At 43.1% G+C, this 20393-nt stretch overlaps 1 protein-coding gene across 5 annotated transcripts in view; it reads right to left on the reverse strand.

The window, feature by feature from the left end:
- FBXO42 (F-box protein 42) overlaps positions 1-20393 on the reverse strand; it is a 105641-nt gene that overhangs the window by 8659 nt on the left and 76589 nt on the right. For all 5 annotated transcript variants that reach the window (NM_018994.3, XM_047422747.1, XM_047422750.1 and 2 more), the window contains 2 exons: positions 1108-1261; positions 213-323 (listed from right to left, as the gene is read on the reverse strand). In NM_018994.3, the coding sequence (NP_061867.1) occupies positions 213-323; positions 1108-1261 (265 nt within the window). The remainder of the gene's footprint in view (positions 1-212; positions 324-1107; positions 1262-20393) is intronic.

Below are 20393 nucleotides of genomic sequence, written 5' to 3' on the forward strand. Positions count from 1 at the left end.
TAATTTTTGTATTTTTAGTAGAGATGGGGCTTCGCCATGTTCGCCATGCTGGTCACAAACTCCTGACCTCAGGTGATCCACCCACCTTGGCCTCCCAAAATGCTGGGATTACAGGTGTGAATTAGGCACCTGGTCCCTAATTCACTTTTAAACCTGTTATTCCCAGGAGTATTTACCTTCAGGCTCATATGGAGCAAACCAAATGTACTTACATTTGCCGGGATCCTAAAGAGCCACCAAAGACAATCATTTTATCATCTATCACACAGGAGGAGTGGCCAGCCATGGGAGGTGGCCCATGGGTTGTCACAATGCAGTTCCACCTAATGTAAAAAGACAGGAGGAAGTCAAGAAGTCAGCACCACACACTTTATGTAAAAATAGTAAGTAGGCATCCATTTAAAATGATAATCCTATCACTTTCAGCAGAGATTTGTTGGGATAATAAGTAGAGGATGGCATAATGTATTTATGCCTTTCCTACAAGTTTGCTTAAAGTTATCTTCTTTCAAGTTCTGAATGTAAACGGTCTGGAGGGAGAGAGATGAGAAAACGATGACAAGAGACAAGATCATGGCTTCTTTGGCCTGGTTTGCTGACAAAGCACCACCTGCCACCTGCTACCTTTCCCTATGGTCCTGATCAGTAACAGCTAACAAGCGCCACGTACTAAGTCTTCCATTACAAGAAACGGCGGTTGCTGTCATTAAGAGATATATGTTTGAAAAACAATTCAGAGTAAGTCTTGGAGACACAGTTAGGAGTAAGGAATCATCTGGATCTACAACACTCCTGGAGTGTTAGCAGCCAAAGCTGAAGAGCTCGCTGTTCTTCAACTGGCTCATTCATTTTTCTTGAAAGAGGAATAAATCTCTTCTATTTTTTCTCTTTAGAATAAGGATTCTAAATGCAGGGTTCTAAGAGAGTCCTGTAAACTCTCTGAAACTGTTGGTAAAATCTGTGAATATGTGCATTTTTCCCCTCCTGGGAAAAGAGTCCACAGCTTTCCATCTAATTCTCAAAGGGACTCTTGACACAAAAAAACAAAGAATCCACTGATTTAAGGCCTTTTCTTCCAGATTTAAAGAGTTTATCTTTGTGACTTACCAATTTTTAGAGGGTGAGTAAGTGTGTATTTCATCAAAGAATCTCTCTGGCTGGTGTAGGGGATAAGGGCTTGGCCGCGTCCAGCCACCAAACAGCACTAGCAAGTCCTTGTACACGACCAGAGTTGCTCCAGCTTTGGGGGAAGGATAGGACCCTAGGGAAAGTCAGTAACACCATGGTTAGCATTCAGGATCTCACAACAATCCGTAGTTAGGCTATCCATAGATCACCTTTCCCTGGAAGAGCAACAAAAGGGGAACTAATACTACAAAGTGTAGAGGAAAGGTGGAAAGAAAACTGGGTTTGAGTCTGAGAGAAAATCATCACTAATTCACACGTCTTTTATTATTAACAGAGAAATATGAGTTAGAGAAAAGTTACTTAGCCTCTCTCATGTTTATAATTTGCTCACCTAAAATTAGGGATGAGAGTACCTATCTCATAAGGCTGTTTTGAGTATTAAATAGTATATTCAAAGCACCTAACATAATGCCTGGCACATAGAAAGTGCTCAACAAATGAGCACCCCTTCCCATCCCTTTAACAAACTTAACAGAGGTCACAAAGAAAAGAAAGAATGTAGAGGACCAGGGAGAAGTATACATAGAGGCTGGATGTCTGGATGCAACTTAAAAATAACTCGTTACAAAACACAGGTAAGAAAAGGAGGCAGGAGGCAGTTCTTATTTGTCCCGTGAGTCAAATTTTAACATAGGGACCTCCAGGCCCCTAGCTATGGGCTTCACATAACCAGATAGCCTCAGCCTAGCACAAATGGGGCAGACCTTCAAGGATTGGTGTGAAGGAATTCCAGTGAAACCATAAGTCTTACACCAAACACCATCTAGACTGGACCTCTGGGCTACACTGACCAAATTCTGAAAAAAAACACTTTGGCTTATGCTGGAAAACTTTAGAGATAACAAATGTCTTACAGGAGCATAATTTTTCAAAATCTATTGTCTTTGAAATAACAATTGCTATTTTTCCCCATCCCTCACTCTACATGTCACCTTTAGTTTCCTCAAGACCAAAGTAACTTGTCCCAATATCCAGGTGTCAGTAAATACCAGAATACTTTTTTTTTCCTTTGGAGGTGGAGTCTCGCTTTGTCACCCAGGCTGGAGTGCAATGATGCAATCTCGGCTCACTGCAACCTCCACCTCCTGGGTTCAAGTGATTTTCCTGCCTTAGCCTCCTGAGTAGCTGGGATTACAGGCATCTGCCATCATGCCCAGCTAATTGTTGCATTTTTAGTTGAGATGGGGTTTCACCATGTTGGCCAGGCTGGTCTCAAACTCCTGACCTCAGGTGATCTACCCGCTTTGGCCTCCCAAAGTGCTGGGATTACAGGCGTGAGCCACCATGCCTCGCTGAGAATACTTTTTTTTTTAAAATCTTTTTTTTTTCTTTTTGGTTAAAGCTGCAGGACTCATTTTTCAAAGGATATCTTAAGCAGAAGAAATCCCAACACTACATTAACCTGACAGCAGTCGAGATGCTCCAATCTAGGTGGAGAGCTTTGCTTCCTCTTTCAGTAGCACATTACAGAACACTGTTTGAAAAGCCCTGCTCAGACTGCTTTAATGGTGTCACTTACAAAGTCTCAAGGTTGAGAAGGTAGAGCAGAGGACTGTCTTTCTTGTGATCTCACTTAGGGGAACAATACGATTTACTGAGAAGGCATCAGTCCTGAAGAGTACAGGGTGAGCATCTAAGAACACCATGTGGCATCAGCTATTTTTCATTTCTTCTTCCTTTTTTTTTTTTTGAGACAGGGTCTTGCTGTTGCCCAGGCTGGAGTGCAGTGGCACAATTACGGCTCACTGCAGCCTCAACCTCCTGGGCTCAAGGGATCCTCCCACTTTAACCTCCCAAATAGCTAGGAATACAGGCAAGCACCACCATGCCCGACTAATTTTTAAATTTTTTGTAGTGATGGGGACTCCCTGCATTGCCCAGACTGGTCTCGAACTCATGGGTTCAAGCAATCCTGCCGCCTTGGCCTTTCGAAGTGTTAGGATTACAGGTGTAAGCCACTGTGCCTGTCCGTGTCAACTATTTTGAATACTTTCATAAATAAAACCAACACTAATCCAGACCACAGGAACTGACTGTAGAAATGAGTCTTTATTTATTTATTAATCTTGAGACAGGGTCTAGCTTTGTCACCCAGGCTAGAGTGCAGTGATGCGATCATGGCTCACTGCAGCCTCGACTTCCTCAGGCTGAAGCAATCCTCTTGCTTCAGCCTCTCGAGTAGCAGAGGCTACAGGCATGTAATACCATATCCAGCTAATTTTTAAAATTTTTTTGTTGTGATCAGGTCTTGCTATGTTGCTCAGGCTGGCCACGAACTCCTGGCCTCAAGCGATCCTCCCGCCTCAGCCTCCCAAAGTGCTGGGATTATAGGCATTACCCACCTCACCCAGTCAGAAATCTTCTCTAGGAAGAGTTATCACATCAATCTGAAGTGCTGAGGTATTCTCTACCCTCAAATCCCACAAGAATAGTGATTAAAGAGGCTGTTGTCTTTCATATAGCCTTACTGTTCCTGGTCAAAAACATTTACCTCCCCAAGGGGATCTATCTCCTAGCCCAATTAGAAAGCCTAAGTAATATAATGGTCTAGTTAAAACACAACTATTGCTCTAAAATAATTTAATTTGTGAAATACCAGACAAAGCTTCCAAGTTCTTGCCTCTAACTTGGAAATCATCAGTACTATGAAACAGTTAGAAAAAAGAAAAAACAAATAAACACATCACAGACTTCAGCAAAATAGTAATGTAAACTCTCTAGACTAGAATGTGGATTTGGATTTGAGATACTGGGCTTAAAGAAATTATAAATGCAGTATAAGAATATATACCTCTTGCCAGGCGCAGTGGCTCACACCTGTAATCCCAGCACTTTGGGAAGCCAAGGCAGGCAGATCACTTAAGGTCAGGAGTTTCAGACCAGTCTGGCCAACATGGTGAGATCCTGTCTCTATTAAAAATATTAAAAAATTAGCCAGGCATGGTAGCCCACGCCTGTAATTCCAGCTACTCAGGAGGCTGAGGCACAAGAATTGCTTGAAACTAGGAGGTGGAGGTTGCAGTGAGCCGAGATTGAGCCACTGCACTCTGGCCTGAGTGAAAGAGCAAGACTCTGTCTCAAAAAAAAAAAAAAAGAAAGAAAGAAAAAAAAGAAAGAAAGAATATATACCTTTTAAGGTGGGACATATTCATAGAATTTTTAAAAGTATTCATAAAACATGGCATACATAATGTAAGTAGAGGAAAGACTACACTTTAGATCTGTACTGCCCAACAAAGTCACCACTGGCCACATGTTGCCCGTGGTTATCAAACTGAAGAGCACAGATGTAGGACATTTCTATCATTGCAGAAAGTTCTATTTAATAGCGGTATTTTAGAAAAAGGTTTTAACTTTGTCAACAGTGTGCCTATGCTTGGGGATTACGGGAAAGTAGCAGGGATAGATGAATAACTTAACTCCAAGAGAAATGACAATTATTGTTACTATAACTCTTACTACTGCTACTGATGGTAATGACTAATATTTATTGAGCATCTACATCTATTATGTACTATGCAGCTTTTTTTTTTTTTTTTTGAGACAGAATCTCACTCTGTCACCCAGGCTGGAGTGTAATGGCACGATCTCGGCTCACTGCAACCTCTGCCTCCCAGGTTCAAATTATTCTCCTGTCTCAGCCTCCCAAGTAGCTGGGATTACAGGCGTATACTGCCACGCCCGGCTAATTTTTTGTATTTTAGTAGAGACGGGGTTTCACCATGTTGCCCAGGCTGGTCTCAAACTCCTGAGCTCAGGCAATCCACTGGCCTCAGCCTCCCAAAGTGCTAGGATTACAGGTGTGAGCCACCGCGCCTGGCCCAATTACTATGCAGCTTTTTAAGTGCTTTGCATGTATTAATTAATTTAATCCTTCTAAAATTCCTAGTTTTATTCCTATTTTACAGATAAGAAACCTGAGGGCACAACTCTTTAAATAACTTGTCCAAGGTCGTAGAACTAATAAGTGAAGAGCCAGGATTCTAATCCATTTATTCTGGATTTTAATTTTTAATTTTATTTTTTTGAGATGAGGTCTCACTCTGGCACCCAGGCTGGAGTGCAGTGGTGTGACTGATCATGGCTCACTGCACTTCTGACCTCCTGGGTGCAAGGGATCTTTCTACCTCAGCCTCCTAAGCAGCTAGGACTACAGTCACAGGCCACTACATCCAGCTAATTTTTTTCTTTTTTTGGGTAGAGATGGGGGTCTCTCTGTGTTGCCCAGACTGGTCTTAAACTCCTGGCCTCAAGTGATTCTCCCACCTCTGCCACCTCCCAAAGTGCTGGAATTACAGGCATGAGCCACCTCACCTTAAAAGAATGAGCTTTAAAGTCAGAATATATCATGCTGCACTTCATGCATACAGATACATTCCTTCTGAATAGTTGCCACAAACAAGTCTGATGCCTTAAAAGGTCTAGTGTTTCAAAGCTGAAGAAGTTCTTTCTTCAATCTTAATCCGGTAAAGCCAAAGACCTAGTCAGAGAGAAGTAAATTAAACAGAAGGCTATTCTTAGAACCTCTTTTTCTCTACAAGGCTCTGGGACACACTCCACCTCTAATATAGGACCATTTACTTATTCTCCGAACTCTCCAAGGAAAGGTAAGCTGAGGCCAGTGATAATGATAAATCAATATAAGAGATCCTCTAGGATTATCTTAGGTAAGGGCTTTCCAAAACGACGTCTCAGATATCTTGACCTTTTAGAAAGGCAAAATCTTTCCCTCTACTTTTTATCTCATGAAGTTGGAGAACTCCTCCATCTAGAATTTATCTCCATGGCCTATTTTATGTCACAAAGTAGGAGCATCTTAAATAGCTCAACTTAATTTCAGCATCTTAATTATCTCAACTAAGTAGGGGAAAGTTAAATCAATTGTATACCCCCACCTCAATTTGTGGGTGAACTGGAAAAAAACTTACCATACAAGAACAAATGAGGTGGCAGAGATCAACATACAGCTTTTATACAGTGAGTTCAGCAACCAGAAGTCAAGGATACAGGTATATCAATTTTTTTTTTTTGTTTTTGAGACGCGTCTCACTCTGTCGCTCAGGCTGGAGTGCAGTGGCGCGATCTCGGCTCACTGCAAGCTCCACCTCCCAGGTTCAAGGGATTCTCCTGCCTCAACCTCCTGAGTAGCTGGGACTACAGGCACCCCCCGCCATGCTCAAGCTAATTTTTTTTATTGTTGTATTTTTAGTAGAGGCAGGGTTTCACTGTGTTAGCCAGGATGGTCTCGATCTCCTGACCTTGTGATCCACCCGCCTTGGTCTCCCAAACTGCTGGGATTACAGGCGTGAGCCACCGCGCCTGGCCCAGGTATATCAAATTTTATGTGACCCTGAGTGCCCATATAATATTTGGCATATTTATTGCAAATTGGATACTTTTAAATTATTGCTACTTTAAGAATTGATATTGTGAAGCCTTTATAAAGAACTCCTACTTCCATTATTTCTAAAAATCTACATATTTCATATATATGTGTGTGTGTATATGTATATATATTTTAAGATGGGGTCTTGCTATGCTGCCCAGTCTGGTCTTTAACTCCTGAGCTCAAGCATTCCTCTTGCCTCAGCCTCCTGAGTAGCTTGGACTACAGGAGTATACCAAAATGCCTGGCTCATATTTCATACTTTGAATTTGTTTAAAGCAGATGGTCCTTAATTCCCTCTCGATGATCTTAAAGCAAAATCTATAAATCAAATGAATTTATGGTGAGATCACATGGGGTGTGGTGGCTCAAGCCTGTAATCCTAGCACTTTGGGAGGTCAAGGCGGGTGGATCACTTGAGGCCAGGCGTTTGAAACCAGCCTGGGCAACATGGCAAAACCATGTCTCTACTAAAAATACAAAAATTAGCCAGGTGTGGTGGCATGTGCCTGTGGTCCCAGGTTCAAGAATCGCTTGAACCTGGGAGGTGGAGGTTGCAGTGAGCCCAGACCGTGCACCAGTACACATGGGGTGGTCAGAGATTACGCGGATCCATCAATTTTGGCAATTTCTTTTTCTTTTTGAGACAGGGTCTCACTCCGGTTGCCCAGGCTAGAGTCTGGAGTGCAGTGGCGTAATCGATCTCAGCTCACTGCAACTCCGACTTCTCAAGCTCAGGTGATTCTCACACCTCAGCCTCCCAAGTAGCTGGGACTACAGGCACGTGCCACCACGGCAGGCTAGTTTTTTGTAATTTTAGTAGAGACAGCATTTCACCATGTTGTGTAGGCTCGTCTCAAACTCCTGGATTCAAGCAATCTGCCCGCCTCGGCCTCCCAAAGTGCTAGGATTACAGGCGTGAGCCACAACTTTGGTAATTTCTATATCAAAGAATAACATTCTCTTTAGCCAAAGTGGAGTTCTGGAAAACAAACAATAAGTCTCTACTAGAATTTCAAGAAAAACAAGAAAAGCCATATTCAAATTACATAACTTTATTCATTTTTTTTTAAGTTCCAGGAAAAGCAAGCCATTTAAAGAGTGCCTAAGCCAGGCGCGGTGGCTCATCCCTGTAATCCCAGCACTTTGGGAGGCTGAGGCGGGCGGATCACGAGGTCAGGAGATCGAGACCATCCTGGCTAACATGGTGAAAAATACAAAAAATTAGCTTGGGTGTGGTGGCAGGTGCCTTGTAGTCCCAGCTACTCAGGAGGCTGAGGCAGGAGAATGGCGTGAACCCGCCAAGCTTGCATTGAGCCAAGATCACGTCACTGCACTCCAGCCTGGGTGGCAGAGCGAGACTCCATCAGAAAAAAGAGTACCTACAAACTTTCTTTAAAAGCACACGGCCGGCCAGGCGTGGTGGATCACCTGAGGTCAGAAGTTCGAGACCAGCCTGACCAACATGGTGAAGCCCCGTCTCTACTAAAAATACAAAAAATTAGCCCGGCATGGTGGTGCACACCTGTAATCCCAGCTTCTTGTGAGGCTGAGGCAGGAGAAACGCTTGAACCCGGGAGGCAGAGGTTGCAGTGAGCCAAGATCGCACCGTTGCACTCCAGCCTGGGCAACAAGAGCGAAACTCCGTCTCAAGGAAAAAAACAAAAAAAAACCGAAAAACCAAAAAACAAAACAAAACAAAACAAAAACAAAAAACCCACGGCCATACATTAACTTTTTTTTTTTTTTTTTTTGGAGGCAGAGTTTCACTCTTTTCGCCCAGGCTGGAGTGCGATGGCACAATCTTGGCTCGCTGCAACTTCCACCTCCCAGGTTCAAGCGATTCTCCTGGCTCAGCCTCCCGAGTAGCTGGGATTAGAGGTGTGTGCTACCACACTTGGCTAATTTTTGTATTATTAGTAGAGACGAGGTTTCACCATGTTGGCCAGGCTGGTCTCGAACTCCTGGCCTCAGGTGATCCACCTGCCTCAGCCTCCCAAAGTGCAGGGATTACAGGCATGAGCCACCATGCCAGGCCAACAATAATTTTTATATGGAGTAGCCGTAGATAAAATGTCAAGTAATGACTTTGAAGAACTGCCCGAATGTGCATGTAATTCATTCCAAACAGCAGCTACAGTTATAGCACATAGGTTTAATACATTTTTATTAAAACACACATATCTTCCACACTAGCACCTGAGTAACTGGAAATCTTGAACAACATGGAGTACTCTCGGAATAGCTGATATTCGATAGTTAAAAAGGCACATAACCACTATGGTGACATATGATGAAATAAATACTGCTCCTGCAAGAACACTTATAAAATGAAGGTTTTATACTCATTAGGACATTTCCTGGCCTGCCTTCAAAATAACAAAGCCACTGGGCTTCTAAATTCAGTCTAAGTGCCATTACTGCACAAAAGTGAAGAAAGGAAGGGTGTCATTCCCATTGAGTTCCCATCAAGCACGACAGGACCAAATGTGCCCACATCAAGCGTAGATGAACATGTTACTTGAGCCTCTTCCCCTAGAGCCCTCTTCCCCTAGAGCCAGGAGTCACCCTCATGGGCTTCATTCCCCAAACACATCAAAGGCCTCCTAAATCGCACAGCAGATATGATCAATGGAACAAATTTCAAAACAAGGCACAAGCCCAAAAGGCAGCTGTGGCAAACTGAATAATCAGATAGACACCCTATACAACAGAACTAACATTCCCTAAAACTGCTAATAGGTTCAGCTGTTTCCCAAGGTTCCTATGAAATCAGAATAAAATTTCACATATGATGGTGGTATAATTACACGGCATTCTTGTTTACGTTTGCAAAGAAGCTGGTTAAACAGTGAAGCAGTTCCAAATCCTAGTTTGATTTCTATGCCACTTTCCCACAATTGTAGTGTCTATTTACACAGAACCCAGGACTACATAGAGCAGCTCAACTATTTGATAACAAGATAAAACAATCACCTGTTTTAATTGGGGATGCCTGTATTTTATGCACGATTTAAAAATGTATGTATATATTTTTTGAGACGGAGTTTCGCTCTTGTTGCCCAGGCTGGAGTGAAATGGCGCAATCTCGGCTCACCGCAGCCTCTGCCTCCCAGTTTCAACGGATTCTCCTGCCTCAGCCTCCCGAGTAGCTGGGATTACAGGCATGCACCACCAAGTGGCTAATTTTGTATTTTTAGTAAAGATGGGGTTTCTCCATGTTGGTCAGGCTGGTCTCGAACTCCCAACCTCAGGTGGTCCTCCCGTCTTGGCCCCCCAAAGTGCTGGGATTACAGGCATGAGCTACCGTGCCCGGCCTAAAAAATATTTTTATATCTCCATGCTATTATCATTTTTTAGTATTAGTTTATTGTTAAGGAGTTATAAATAATACTGTTTGATGGCCTATTATGTGCTAACTACTGAGTGCTACAAATTTTATATTTATTATCTAATTTAATCATTATAACCTTAAAATGCAGGTATTACTAGCCTCATTTTACAGATGAATAATGGTAGGTGAAGCTAATGCATAATGCTTACACTGAGCTAGACACTGTTCTAGGTACCTCTTGAAAACTAAAAAAGAAAAAAAAAAAGGCAAATTCCATGTTCTGAGTAATCAAGAAATCCAACCTAAAGGGTTATTTAATGAAAGAAGAGTTAATCCCTTGTCCTTGGAAGTTTAGGTTCAGATAAGTCCCTATTAAAAAAAAAAAAAAAGACATTTCAAGGCCTCCTAAAGGAGCTCTATATGGCTCACAAAGCCTTTTGGTCCCTGATCTGCATACTACACAGTTGGCTCTGAGTACAGGTGTCTTAGGCAATAATAGCCAAATGTCACAAGATGAGAAGCAGGTATATAATCCTACCATTTTCTCAATATCACTTACATTCTCAACAAATAGAACTGTTACTCTAGTCTTACACACTTCAGACTTTTGGGGAGAAACTGACTTATTTATTTTTATTTCCTTAAGAAAATGAAAGTGCTTTAAAACACTTTCAAATAAAATAATCAAACAAGATAGAACTTTTGAAAGAAAAAGTCAGAACCCTTTCTACCCCACGGAAAATGGCTATTTTCATGGCTGTTTTCAAAGTATAGTTTTTTTTAAAAAAAATAGAAACATCTCTTTCATACATATATAGAGTAAACATGTGTTAGGATATATTTAACTTATTAATAAGGGAGCAAGCAGGAAGTAATGCTAATTCAAAGGAGAATTTGAGGAAAAGAGCCATGCTAAAATAAGTTTGCTAACAGCTAGGCACAGTGGCATGTACCTGTAGTCCCCAGCTACTCAGGAGACTGAGGCGGGAGGATGGCTTAACCTCCTGCCTTAAGATAGGTTAAGTCTCCCCATCTTAACCACTCTGTGCAGACTCGCTTTCTCAGAGTGGGTCCAATATAAAGCATTCACTTCCAACTCCAGCTCCACAGGCAGTATACCAGTCCTTCACACACAAAACTGGCCTTGAGGGCAAAGTAATGCCAGATAGACCAGTTAACTAAAACCCTACCCCACAGATGCTGTTTTTTGTTTTGTTTTGTGGTAGTGAGGAGCCTCAAACTGGCGTGTGTATGGGGGGTGGGAAGGATGGATTTTGCTGATAAAACCAAAGCTGGGTCTTGGAAAGCTCTGACTAAGCATCTGGCTTGATAAAGCTGTCATCATGGTATTGTGTGAAGTGACTGACCTCAACAGCAGGAGTTCAGAGATCAGGATAATTTGGACAGATATTTCCCAGAATACCATATTACCATCATAATCAGAAAACCTAGAGGGCACTGGAGGATAGCGTGGCACATATAACTTTGAAGGAAACAGATTCCTTAAAGAAAAACTGCTGGTGTTATAATTTAACTGCTTACTCAAAACTATTTTGATTTTACAGGCAATACTTCGTAAGGGCAACAACAAAAGCATGTTTCATGGTTCTGTGGTGTGAGGAGGTAGGGATAAAAGGATAATTGAGAAAAACACTTCAAAATTCATGAGTATAAAGTCTGTCTTGACCATAAACACCTTGAAGACAACTATTTGGAATGGTCTCCAAAATACTGCAGCCCAAGGACCAAGGGGTTTCTATCTGGAACAGATACTAGTTTCTCTTCTGGTAATAAAAATATTTCCAACTTAACATCAATGTGGCCAATAATAATTACAAGTCATTGCATTTATATAAATGCCCATGAAGATACAAGTACATAATGCTTTAAAGAAAGAAATAGGAAGTAAATACAAAGTTACAGAACCTCTAAACTCCTGCTTCCTAAGACTTGGTTCTACCCAGGAGTGCTCTTTAATTGCAGTTCTAATCAGGGGTGTTGAAATTATCCATTTAGATTCTCCCCAGTAAGACTACACTATCCTAGAAGACAGGGACTATTTCTTATGAAAATGTTTGTTGAATTGAAGCCATCCACGGAAGCCAAATGGTTATAGATCTCTCAGGAGCTGAGATCAGGGTCGGCTCCAGCTACTTATAACATACCCTAGAGGCATCAGCCCACCTTTGGGTGGGGTTAAAGCCAAACATTTTTTTGGGTCTCCCCCTCTACCCACTCCATTTTTTTCTTCCTATTTTACTCCTCAATTGTAAAAAGGCCAGAAAAGTTACTGATTGACATCAACATTCACTGGTATTAGACAAAACTTGTCTGGATCTCAGGATTCAGGGTATACATTATTATTACAACTATATCCACATCTTTAAAAACATCATTCTATGGGTCATTTATGAAATATCCAAATAACAGGAACTTTTGTAATGGGCATGAGAAACTTTTAGATCTTATCTAACTATGCCACAGGCATGAACTAAAGGAAATTCTCTATTGGCATTGTTTTCACTTCTTAACAAAACCATATGAAAGACCACTTGATGAATAGGGCAGCACTTATCAGCTAAAAATGAACAATACAAAAGCCAGTAATAGTTCCTTGTTACCATTTCAAGTAGTCTTTTGATTCAATTTCTGAGGGAGGAGAGGAGGTCCAAAGTCTCAGTTTAATCTGATAATTTGTTAATTGCAGTTCTAATGGGGGTGGGGGGCATAGGGGGTACTCTTTCAAGTAGGGACTTTAAGAAGTGAAAACAATGTTACCAGTCATAAAGTTTCTAGCCTGGTGTCAAAACAGAAAAATCCTTGTCAGCCCTGAGAGTGAGCCAAACTGAAATATGGTAAAATCTTACTTATTCTCTCCCTGGGAGGACTAAAAGTTACCCAGATCTGTCCTATACAAATTTTCCCACTCTTCTCTTTAGCAGGAGGTAATGTGTATACACCTTAGAAAAGCATGTATTCTGGAAAAATCCCAGGGTCTGAACTTTCTAAATAAACAAGAAGGATTTCTTCCTTTTCTAAGGGAACCTACTGGCTCTGCTTTCATTCACATGTCCTGAGACCATCACAGGTCCAGGTTGTTACAGGACTGCAAAGGGCTACAGGAAACAAGGAAGAACCACCACCTCATGAAGAAGGTTAACCAGGAATAGGTCCATGGGTCAGGGAGGAGCTAATATAATAACTTAAAATATTCCCTTAAATAACATCTTAACTCCTTCTTAATCAAAAGCACATCACTTTAATAAGAACAAAGAGGCCGGGCACAGCAGCTCACGCCTGTAATCCCAGCACTTTGGGAGGTCGAGGCAGGCAGATGACCTGAGGTCGAGAGTTCAAGATCAGCCTGACCAACATGGAGAAACCCCGTCTCTACTAAAAACGAACAAACAAACGAACAAAAAAACAAAATGAGCTGGGTGTGGTGGCACATGCCTGTAATCCCAGCTACTCGGGAGGCTGAGACAGGAGAATTACTTGAACCCGGGATTCTCCGGTCTCAGCCTCCCGAGTAGCTGGGACTACAGACACGCATCACCACACCCAGTTAATTTTTGTATTTTAGCAGAGATGGGAGTGTTTCACCATGTTGGCCAGGCTGGTCTCGAACTCCTGACCTCGTGATCCACCCACCTCGGCCTTCCAAAGTACTGGGATTACAGGCGTGAGCCACCGCACCTGGCTTTTTTTTTTTTTGTGACAGAGTCTCTGTCTCTGTCACCCAGACTGGAGTGCAGTGGTGCAATTTCAGCTCCTGGGTTCAAGCGATTCTCCTGCCTCAGCCTCCTAAGTAGCTGGGACTACAGGCACATGATATCATACCCGCCTAATTTTCTATATTTTTAGTAGAGATGAGGTTTTGTCATGCTGGCCAGGCTGGTCTCAAACTCTTGACCGTGGGTGATCTGCCTGCCTCGGCCTCCCAAAGTGCTGGGATTACAGGTATAAACCACCGAACCCAGACTTTTTTTTTTTTTTAAGAGAGTATCACTCTGTTCCCCAGGCCGGAGTGCAGTGGCACTATCTCAGTTCAAGCCATTCTCGTGCCTCAGCTTCCTGAGTAGCTGAAATTATACATGTGCCACCACATCTGGCTACTCATAATTTTTTGTTTATTTGAGACAGAGTTTCGCTCTTGTTGCCCAGGCTGGAGTGCAATGGCGTGATCTCGGCTCACTGTAACCTCCGCCTCCCAGGTTCAAGCGATTTTCCTGCCTCAGCCTCCCGAGTAGCTGGGATTACAGGCATGAGCCACCATGTCCAGCTAATTTTGTATTTTTAGTGGAGACGGGGTTTCTCCATGTTGGTCAGGCTGGTCTCAAACTCCCAATCTCAGGTGATCCGCCTACCTCGGCCTCCCAAAGTGCTGGTATTACAGGCATGAGCCACCATGCCTGGCCTATTCTTTATGTTTTCTTTGTTTTTTCTGTTTTGTTTTGTTTTGTTTTGTTTTTGAGATGGAGTTTCACTCTGTCACCCAAGCTGGAGTGCAGTGGCTCAATCTCACTGCAACCTCCGCCTCCCAGGCTCAAGTGATCTTCCCACATCAGCCTTCCAAGTAGATGGGACCACAGACATGCAAACCACAGCTGGCTAATTTTTTGTATTTTTGGTATAGACAGGGTTTCATCATGTTGCTTAGGTTCATCTGGAACTCCTGAGCTCAAGTGATCAGCCTGCCAAGGCCTCCCAAGGTGCTGGGATTACAGGTGTGAGCCACCACGCCCAGCCACTTTCTCTTCTTATAAAGCCACCAGTCCCCACTCCCAGTCTAACCCATTAATCCAGGAACGAATTAATCCATTCTGCTGTCATGACCCAAACACCTCTTAAAGACCCCACCTCTCAATACTGCTACACTGGGGATTAACTTTCAACACATGTTTCAGAGGGAACAAACATTCAAACCATGGCAAGCCCCATCACTTCCAGTGTCTCTGCTAGATGGAGTTAGGCAGCAGTAAATGGAGAAAACAATTTAATTAGGCCTAACAACTGGACGCTGAAGTACTTAGGATTTGTCCAGAAAATAATTCCCAAGGGAAGATTGGGGATGAATTCATAAATATAATCATGTCCCTTTCTTTTCATCATCCTTCACTTATTCACCAGAGCCTTCAAGATAAAGGCCAGGCCAGGTGCAGTGGCTCACGCCTGTAATCCCAGCACTTTGTGAGGCTGAGGTGGGAAGATTACTTGAGGCCAGGAATTCAAGACCAGCCTGAGCAATACAGAGAGACTCTGTCTCTCAAAAAAAAAAAAAAAAAAAAAAGAAAAGAAAAGAAAGAAGAAAAGATAAATTCCAAATCCCTTACTTACCATGAGATACACACACACACACACACACACACACACACACACACACACATATAAAATTCCATTCTTTGAGCAACTACTATGTGCCAGGTACTAGAGTCAGCAGTGACTAAAACAGACAAAAAGCCCTCAGCCCCAGGAAGCGTATAGCTTGCTGAGGGGAAGAAAGACAGTGTGACATATGGTGATAAGTGCCAAGGGGGGAAAAAAAAAACAAAACAAGAGGAAAAGGAGTCAGGGAAGTTGTCCTTTCAAACTGTAGTTAGGGAATGCCTCACAGAGGGAGACATATGAATAAAGACCTGTGAAGCAGGTAAAGGAGAGAGTCACAAGGACATGCAGGAAGAGTGTTCCAGGCAGAAATAGCAAGAGCAGAGGCCCAGGTGTGAGGCTAAAATACAGTGAGGGACAGGAATGCAGCAGGCAATGAGGTCAGAGAGATGAGGGGACAGGATGACTGTGCAGGACCTTGTTTGGCCATACTTTGATCCCTAACTACTGTGTGCGTGTGTGTGTTGGTGTGTGTGTGTGTGTGTGTGTGTGTGTGTGTGTGTGTGTGTGTTGGCATCTAACTCTGTTGCCCAGGCTGGAGTGCAGTGGCATGATCTCAGCTCACTGCAACCTTCGCCTCCTAGGTTCAAGCCACTCTCCTGCCTCAGCCTCCCAAGTAGCTGGGATTACAGGCGCCTGCCACCACACCTGGCTAATTTTTGTATTTTAAGTAGAGATGGGGTTTCACCATGTTGGCCAGGCTGGTCTCGAACTCCTGAACTCAGATGATCTGCCCACCTCAGCTTCCCAAAGTGCTGGGATTACATGCATGAGCCACCGCACCTGGCCCCTAACTACCTTTCTAATACCCACTTGTACCACTCTCCCCTCACATATCCTGGCTCAGGAACACCCAACCTATTTGTAAGTCCATGAACATGCCAAACTCTCTTACCTCCATCCACAGCCTTTTTTCAATGGCTATCCATAGCCCTCTTCATTTACCACATAAGTGTTTGGTTTTCTTCTGCTAGATGGAGAACCTCTTAGGATTAGGAACTCCTGTTACTTAGTACTATACCTGCATACCTAGCATAGTCATTGGATGCTCAATAGTCCTCTGTAGGCTGGGCGCAGTGGCTCACACTTGTAATCTCAGCCCTCTGGGAGGCTGAGGCGGGTGGATCACCTGAGGTCAGGAGTTCGAGACCAGCCTAGCCAACATGGTGAAACCCCGTTTCTACCAAAAAAAAAAAAAAGAAAACAATACAAAAATAGCTGGGCGTGGTGGTGCATGCCCATAGTCCCAGCTACTCGAGAGGCTAAGGCAGGAGAATTGCATGAATCTGGGAGGCGGAGGTTGCAGTGAGCCAAGATTGTGCCACTGCACTCCAGCCTGGGGGACAGAGCAAGACTCCGTCCCAAAAAAAAAAAAAAAAAAAAAGTCCTCTGTAGACTGAAATGATTAATGTCTAACAGCATGAAGTCTGGCCAGATGTCCACAGAGACGCAAACTATAAGGCTCACTGCAACTCTCTTTTTTTTGAGACAGAGTTTCGCTCTTGTTACCCAGGCTGGAGTGCAATGGCACGATCTTGGCTCACCGCAACTCCCGCCTCCCGGGTTCAAGCGATTCTTCTGCCTCAGCCTCCCGAGTAGCTGGGATTACAGGCATGCACCACCACGCCCAGCTAATTTTGTATTTTAAGTAGAGACCGGGTTTCACCATGTTAGTCAGGCTGGTTTCGAACTCCTGACCTCAAGTGATCCACCCGCCTTGGCCTCCCAAAGTGCTGGGATTACAGGCGTGAGCCACCGTGCCCGGTGGGTCACTGCAACTCTCTAATAGGTAAAGGCTTGGCTGAAGGAACAAGAGTATGCACAAAGGTAGAGGTGGAGAGAAGGGAAGATTATGCAGGATCTTGTCAGCCACACTTTGATCCCTAACTACCTTTCCTATCCCTGAGACCCAAGGTGGCAGCAAGTAGGATACTTTGGGTAAAAGGACATGTTAGTCATCGAAATTTGTGTACATAAAAATCCATAGCTTTTCCTGATGTTATAACTTCTAGCCTTTACACGAACAATGGCTAGCATTTGATGAATTCTTAGGAATATTTCATTTTCATGAAAGTATCAACCAGGGTCCCCAGAACAGGCAACTGCAAAAATAATCCTGTTGAATGGATGTAAAGTTCTTGTCTCGATTCTTTTTGTTTCTTTCAGATTCCCTAGAGACAAAGCCAGTTTGCCTGACCTCTCAACCAAAGAACCCTGACAACTTACTCCTTAGCTAGTATCTCCGTATATATAAAGATGTCAACTTCATCATCAGTTCCCAGAAACCCTCTCCAACTGAGTACTGTATTGTATGTAATATGAACAAAAACTATGAAAGGTAGGTATTACCATCTCTACCCTAAAGGTAAGGCAACTGGGGTTAAACAACCGGTAACCAGCAAGTGACAGGGCTCAAATGAAAAAGTATGCCTCCTGGCACAAAACCCATCATTTTTATGGTATTACTAACGAGCCTCCTTCCCTCCTACAATATCTTCCTCACATTACTTTAGGTCATTAGCCCCTAATAATTAGTATCTTTTATTATTAGCCAAGTGGTCTTTCCTCCCCAAACTTCTGTAATACTTAGTTATATCATCAGATCTTTCAGATGGAGCAGGACTAAGGAAATGGAGAGCTCTCTGGGATGCTTGCTATGTCTAAAATATCTCTTAAAGTTGACAAGTAGGAAATGAGTGCATATATCCACTGAAAAGTACAAACAATGTTGATGGCAGCTATATTCAAAGTAGAAACAGCCCAAGTATCCATCAACAGGAGAACAACTTAAAAAAAAAAAAAATGAGGGCCGGGCATGGTGGCTTATGCCTGTAATCGTAGCACTTTGGAGGCTGAGGTGGGCAGATCTCTTGAGCCTAGGAGTTCAAGACCAGCCTGGGCAACATGATGAAACCCTGTCTCAACAAAAATACAAAAATTAACCGGGTGTGGTGATGCACATCTGTAGTCCCAGCTACTTGGGAGGCTGAGGTGGGAGGATCACTTGAGCCCAAGAGGTAGAGGCTGCAGTGAGCCAAGATTGTGCCACTGCACACTCCAGCCTAGGCAACAGAACGAGACTCTGTCTCAAACAAGAAAAAAAGTGGGATATTCATATTAAGAAGCACTCATGGTAATGGAAGGGAATAAACTACTGACAGATGCAACCACATAGATGAATCTCAAAAACGTGTTCAAAGAAAGAAGCCAGACATAAAATACTACCTATCACAGACGTCCATTTACACGAAGTTCAAGAACACAGAACTATACTTTGGGAATCTGAGGCAGGAGGATTGTTTGAGACCAGGCATTCAAGACCAGGCTGGGAGACATAGCAGTACCCCATCTCTACAAAAACTAAATTAGTCAGGCATGGTGGTGTGCATCTGCAATCCCAGCTACTTGGGAGGCTGAGGCAGGAGGATTGCTTGAGCCCAAGAGCTGGAGCTGCGGTGAGCTATGATAATCATGCCATTGCACTGCTGCCTGGGTGACAGAATGAAACTTTGTCTCAAAAAACACAAAAAAAAAAGAAAAGAAAAGAAAAAAAGAACAGAACAAAGCCACAGTGTTAGAAGTCAGAATAGGAGCTGACCTCTATGGGGGTTGTACAGACAGGAAAGGGGCATGAGGGGGCTTTTTTGAGGTGAAGAAAGTTTTCGTATCTTGATCTAGGTAATGATCACATGACTGTATACATATGTAAAAAACAAAATCTCTGAGTTGTGCACTTAAGATTTGCTCATTTAACTATAAGTAATGTATATCCCCCCCCCATACAAATTATGCCCCCGTTTTTTTTTTTTTTTTTTTTTTGAGACGAAGTCTTGCTCTGTTGCCAGGCTAGAGTGCAGTGGCGTGAACTTGGCTCACTGCAACCTCCGCCTCCTGGGTTCAAACGATTCTCCTGCCTCAGCCTCGCAAGTAGCTGGGACTACAGGCACCCACCACCATGCCCAGCTAATTTTTTGTATTTCAGTAGAGACAGGGTTTCATCACGTTGGCCAGGATTCTCTCGATCTCCTGATCTCGTAATCTGCCCGCCTCAGCCTCCCACAGTGCTGGGATTACAGGCGTGAGCCACCATGCCCAGCTATCAAATTATGTCTTAATAGAATAATATTGTTTTTAAAAAAAGAATCGCTAATGTAAAAGCTGGCAGTAAACTGTAAACCATGTTCATACTGGTGTCACATGGTACCACCAACTACTTTAGCCAGTAAGCAGAAATATCAGCAATCCATTATTAGAATTAAAATTCATTATATGAGGTCTTTAAGAACCCATTCATCACATAAAATGCAACTACCCTGTAACTCACATATGTAAATTCAATAGCAAGAAACATTCTGAGATTCAGCAGTGGGATTTCAGAAAGCTTACTAAAATGGGAGAGAAGACAAAAAAGGGACACAACATAAAAGCCAACAAATCAAATATAAAACCCACAACCCATCATCACTTCTAGAGAGAACTACAGAAAAGAGGAAATTATCAGGGGCACAATTTATTTGAAAAGTAGAATCAATTAATGCATAGTACATCAGGTGCGATGGCTCATGTCTGTAATCTCGGTACTTCGAGAGGCCAAGGCAGGGGGATCACTTGAGGCTAGGAGTGCAAGACCAGTCTGGGCATTACAGTGAGACGCTGTCTCTACAAATAATAAAATAAAATAGCTGGGCATAGTGGTTCATGCCTGTAGTCCTTGCTACTTGGGAGGCTGAAGCAGGAGGATCGCTTGAGCCCAGGAATTTGAGGCTGCAGTGAGCTATGATGATGCCACTGTATTCCACTCAGGGACAAAAAGCTAGACCCTGTCTCTTACCCAAAAACAGAAAAGGAAGAATAAAAATAAAAAGCCATAGTTCAAGAGTTCATCTCCTCAAGGGGGAATGAGAAATAGCTTCTGAGTTTTAAAAGGACAAAGGAGGCCAGGAGTGGTTGCTCATGCCTGTAATCCCAGCGCTTTAGGACGCTGAGGTGGGTGAATCACCTAAGGTCAGGAGTTGGAGACCAGCCTGGCCAACATGGCAAAACCCCGTCTCTACTAAAAAAATTAGCCAGGCGTGGTGGTGGTACGTGCTTGTAATCCCA

Source organism: Homo sapiens, chromosome 1 (assembly GCF_000001405.40).
Source record: "Homo sapiens chromosome 1, GRCh38.p14 Primary Assembly".
Classification (NCBI taxonomy): domain Eukaryota; kingdom Metazoa; phylum Chordata; class Mammalia; order Primates; family Hominidae; genus Homo; species Homo sapiens.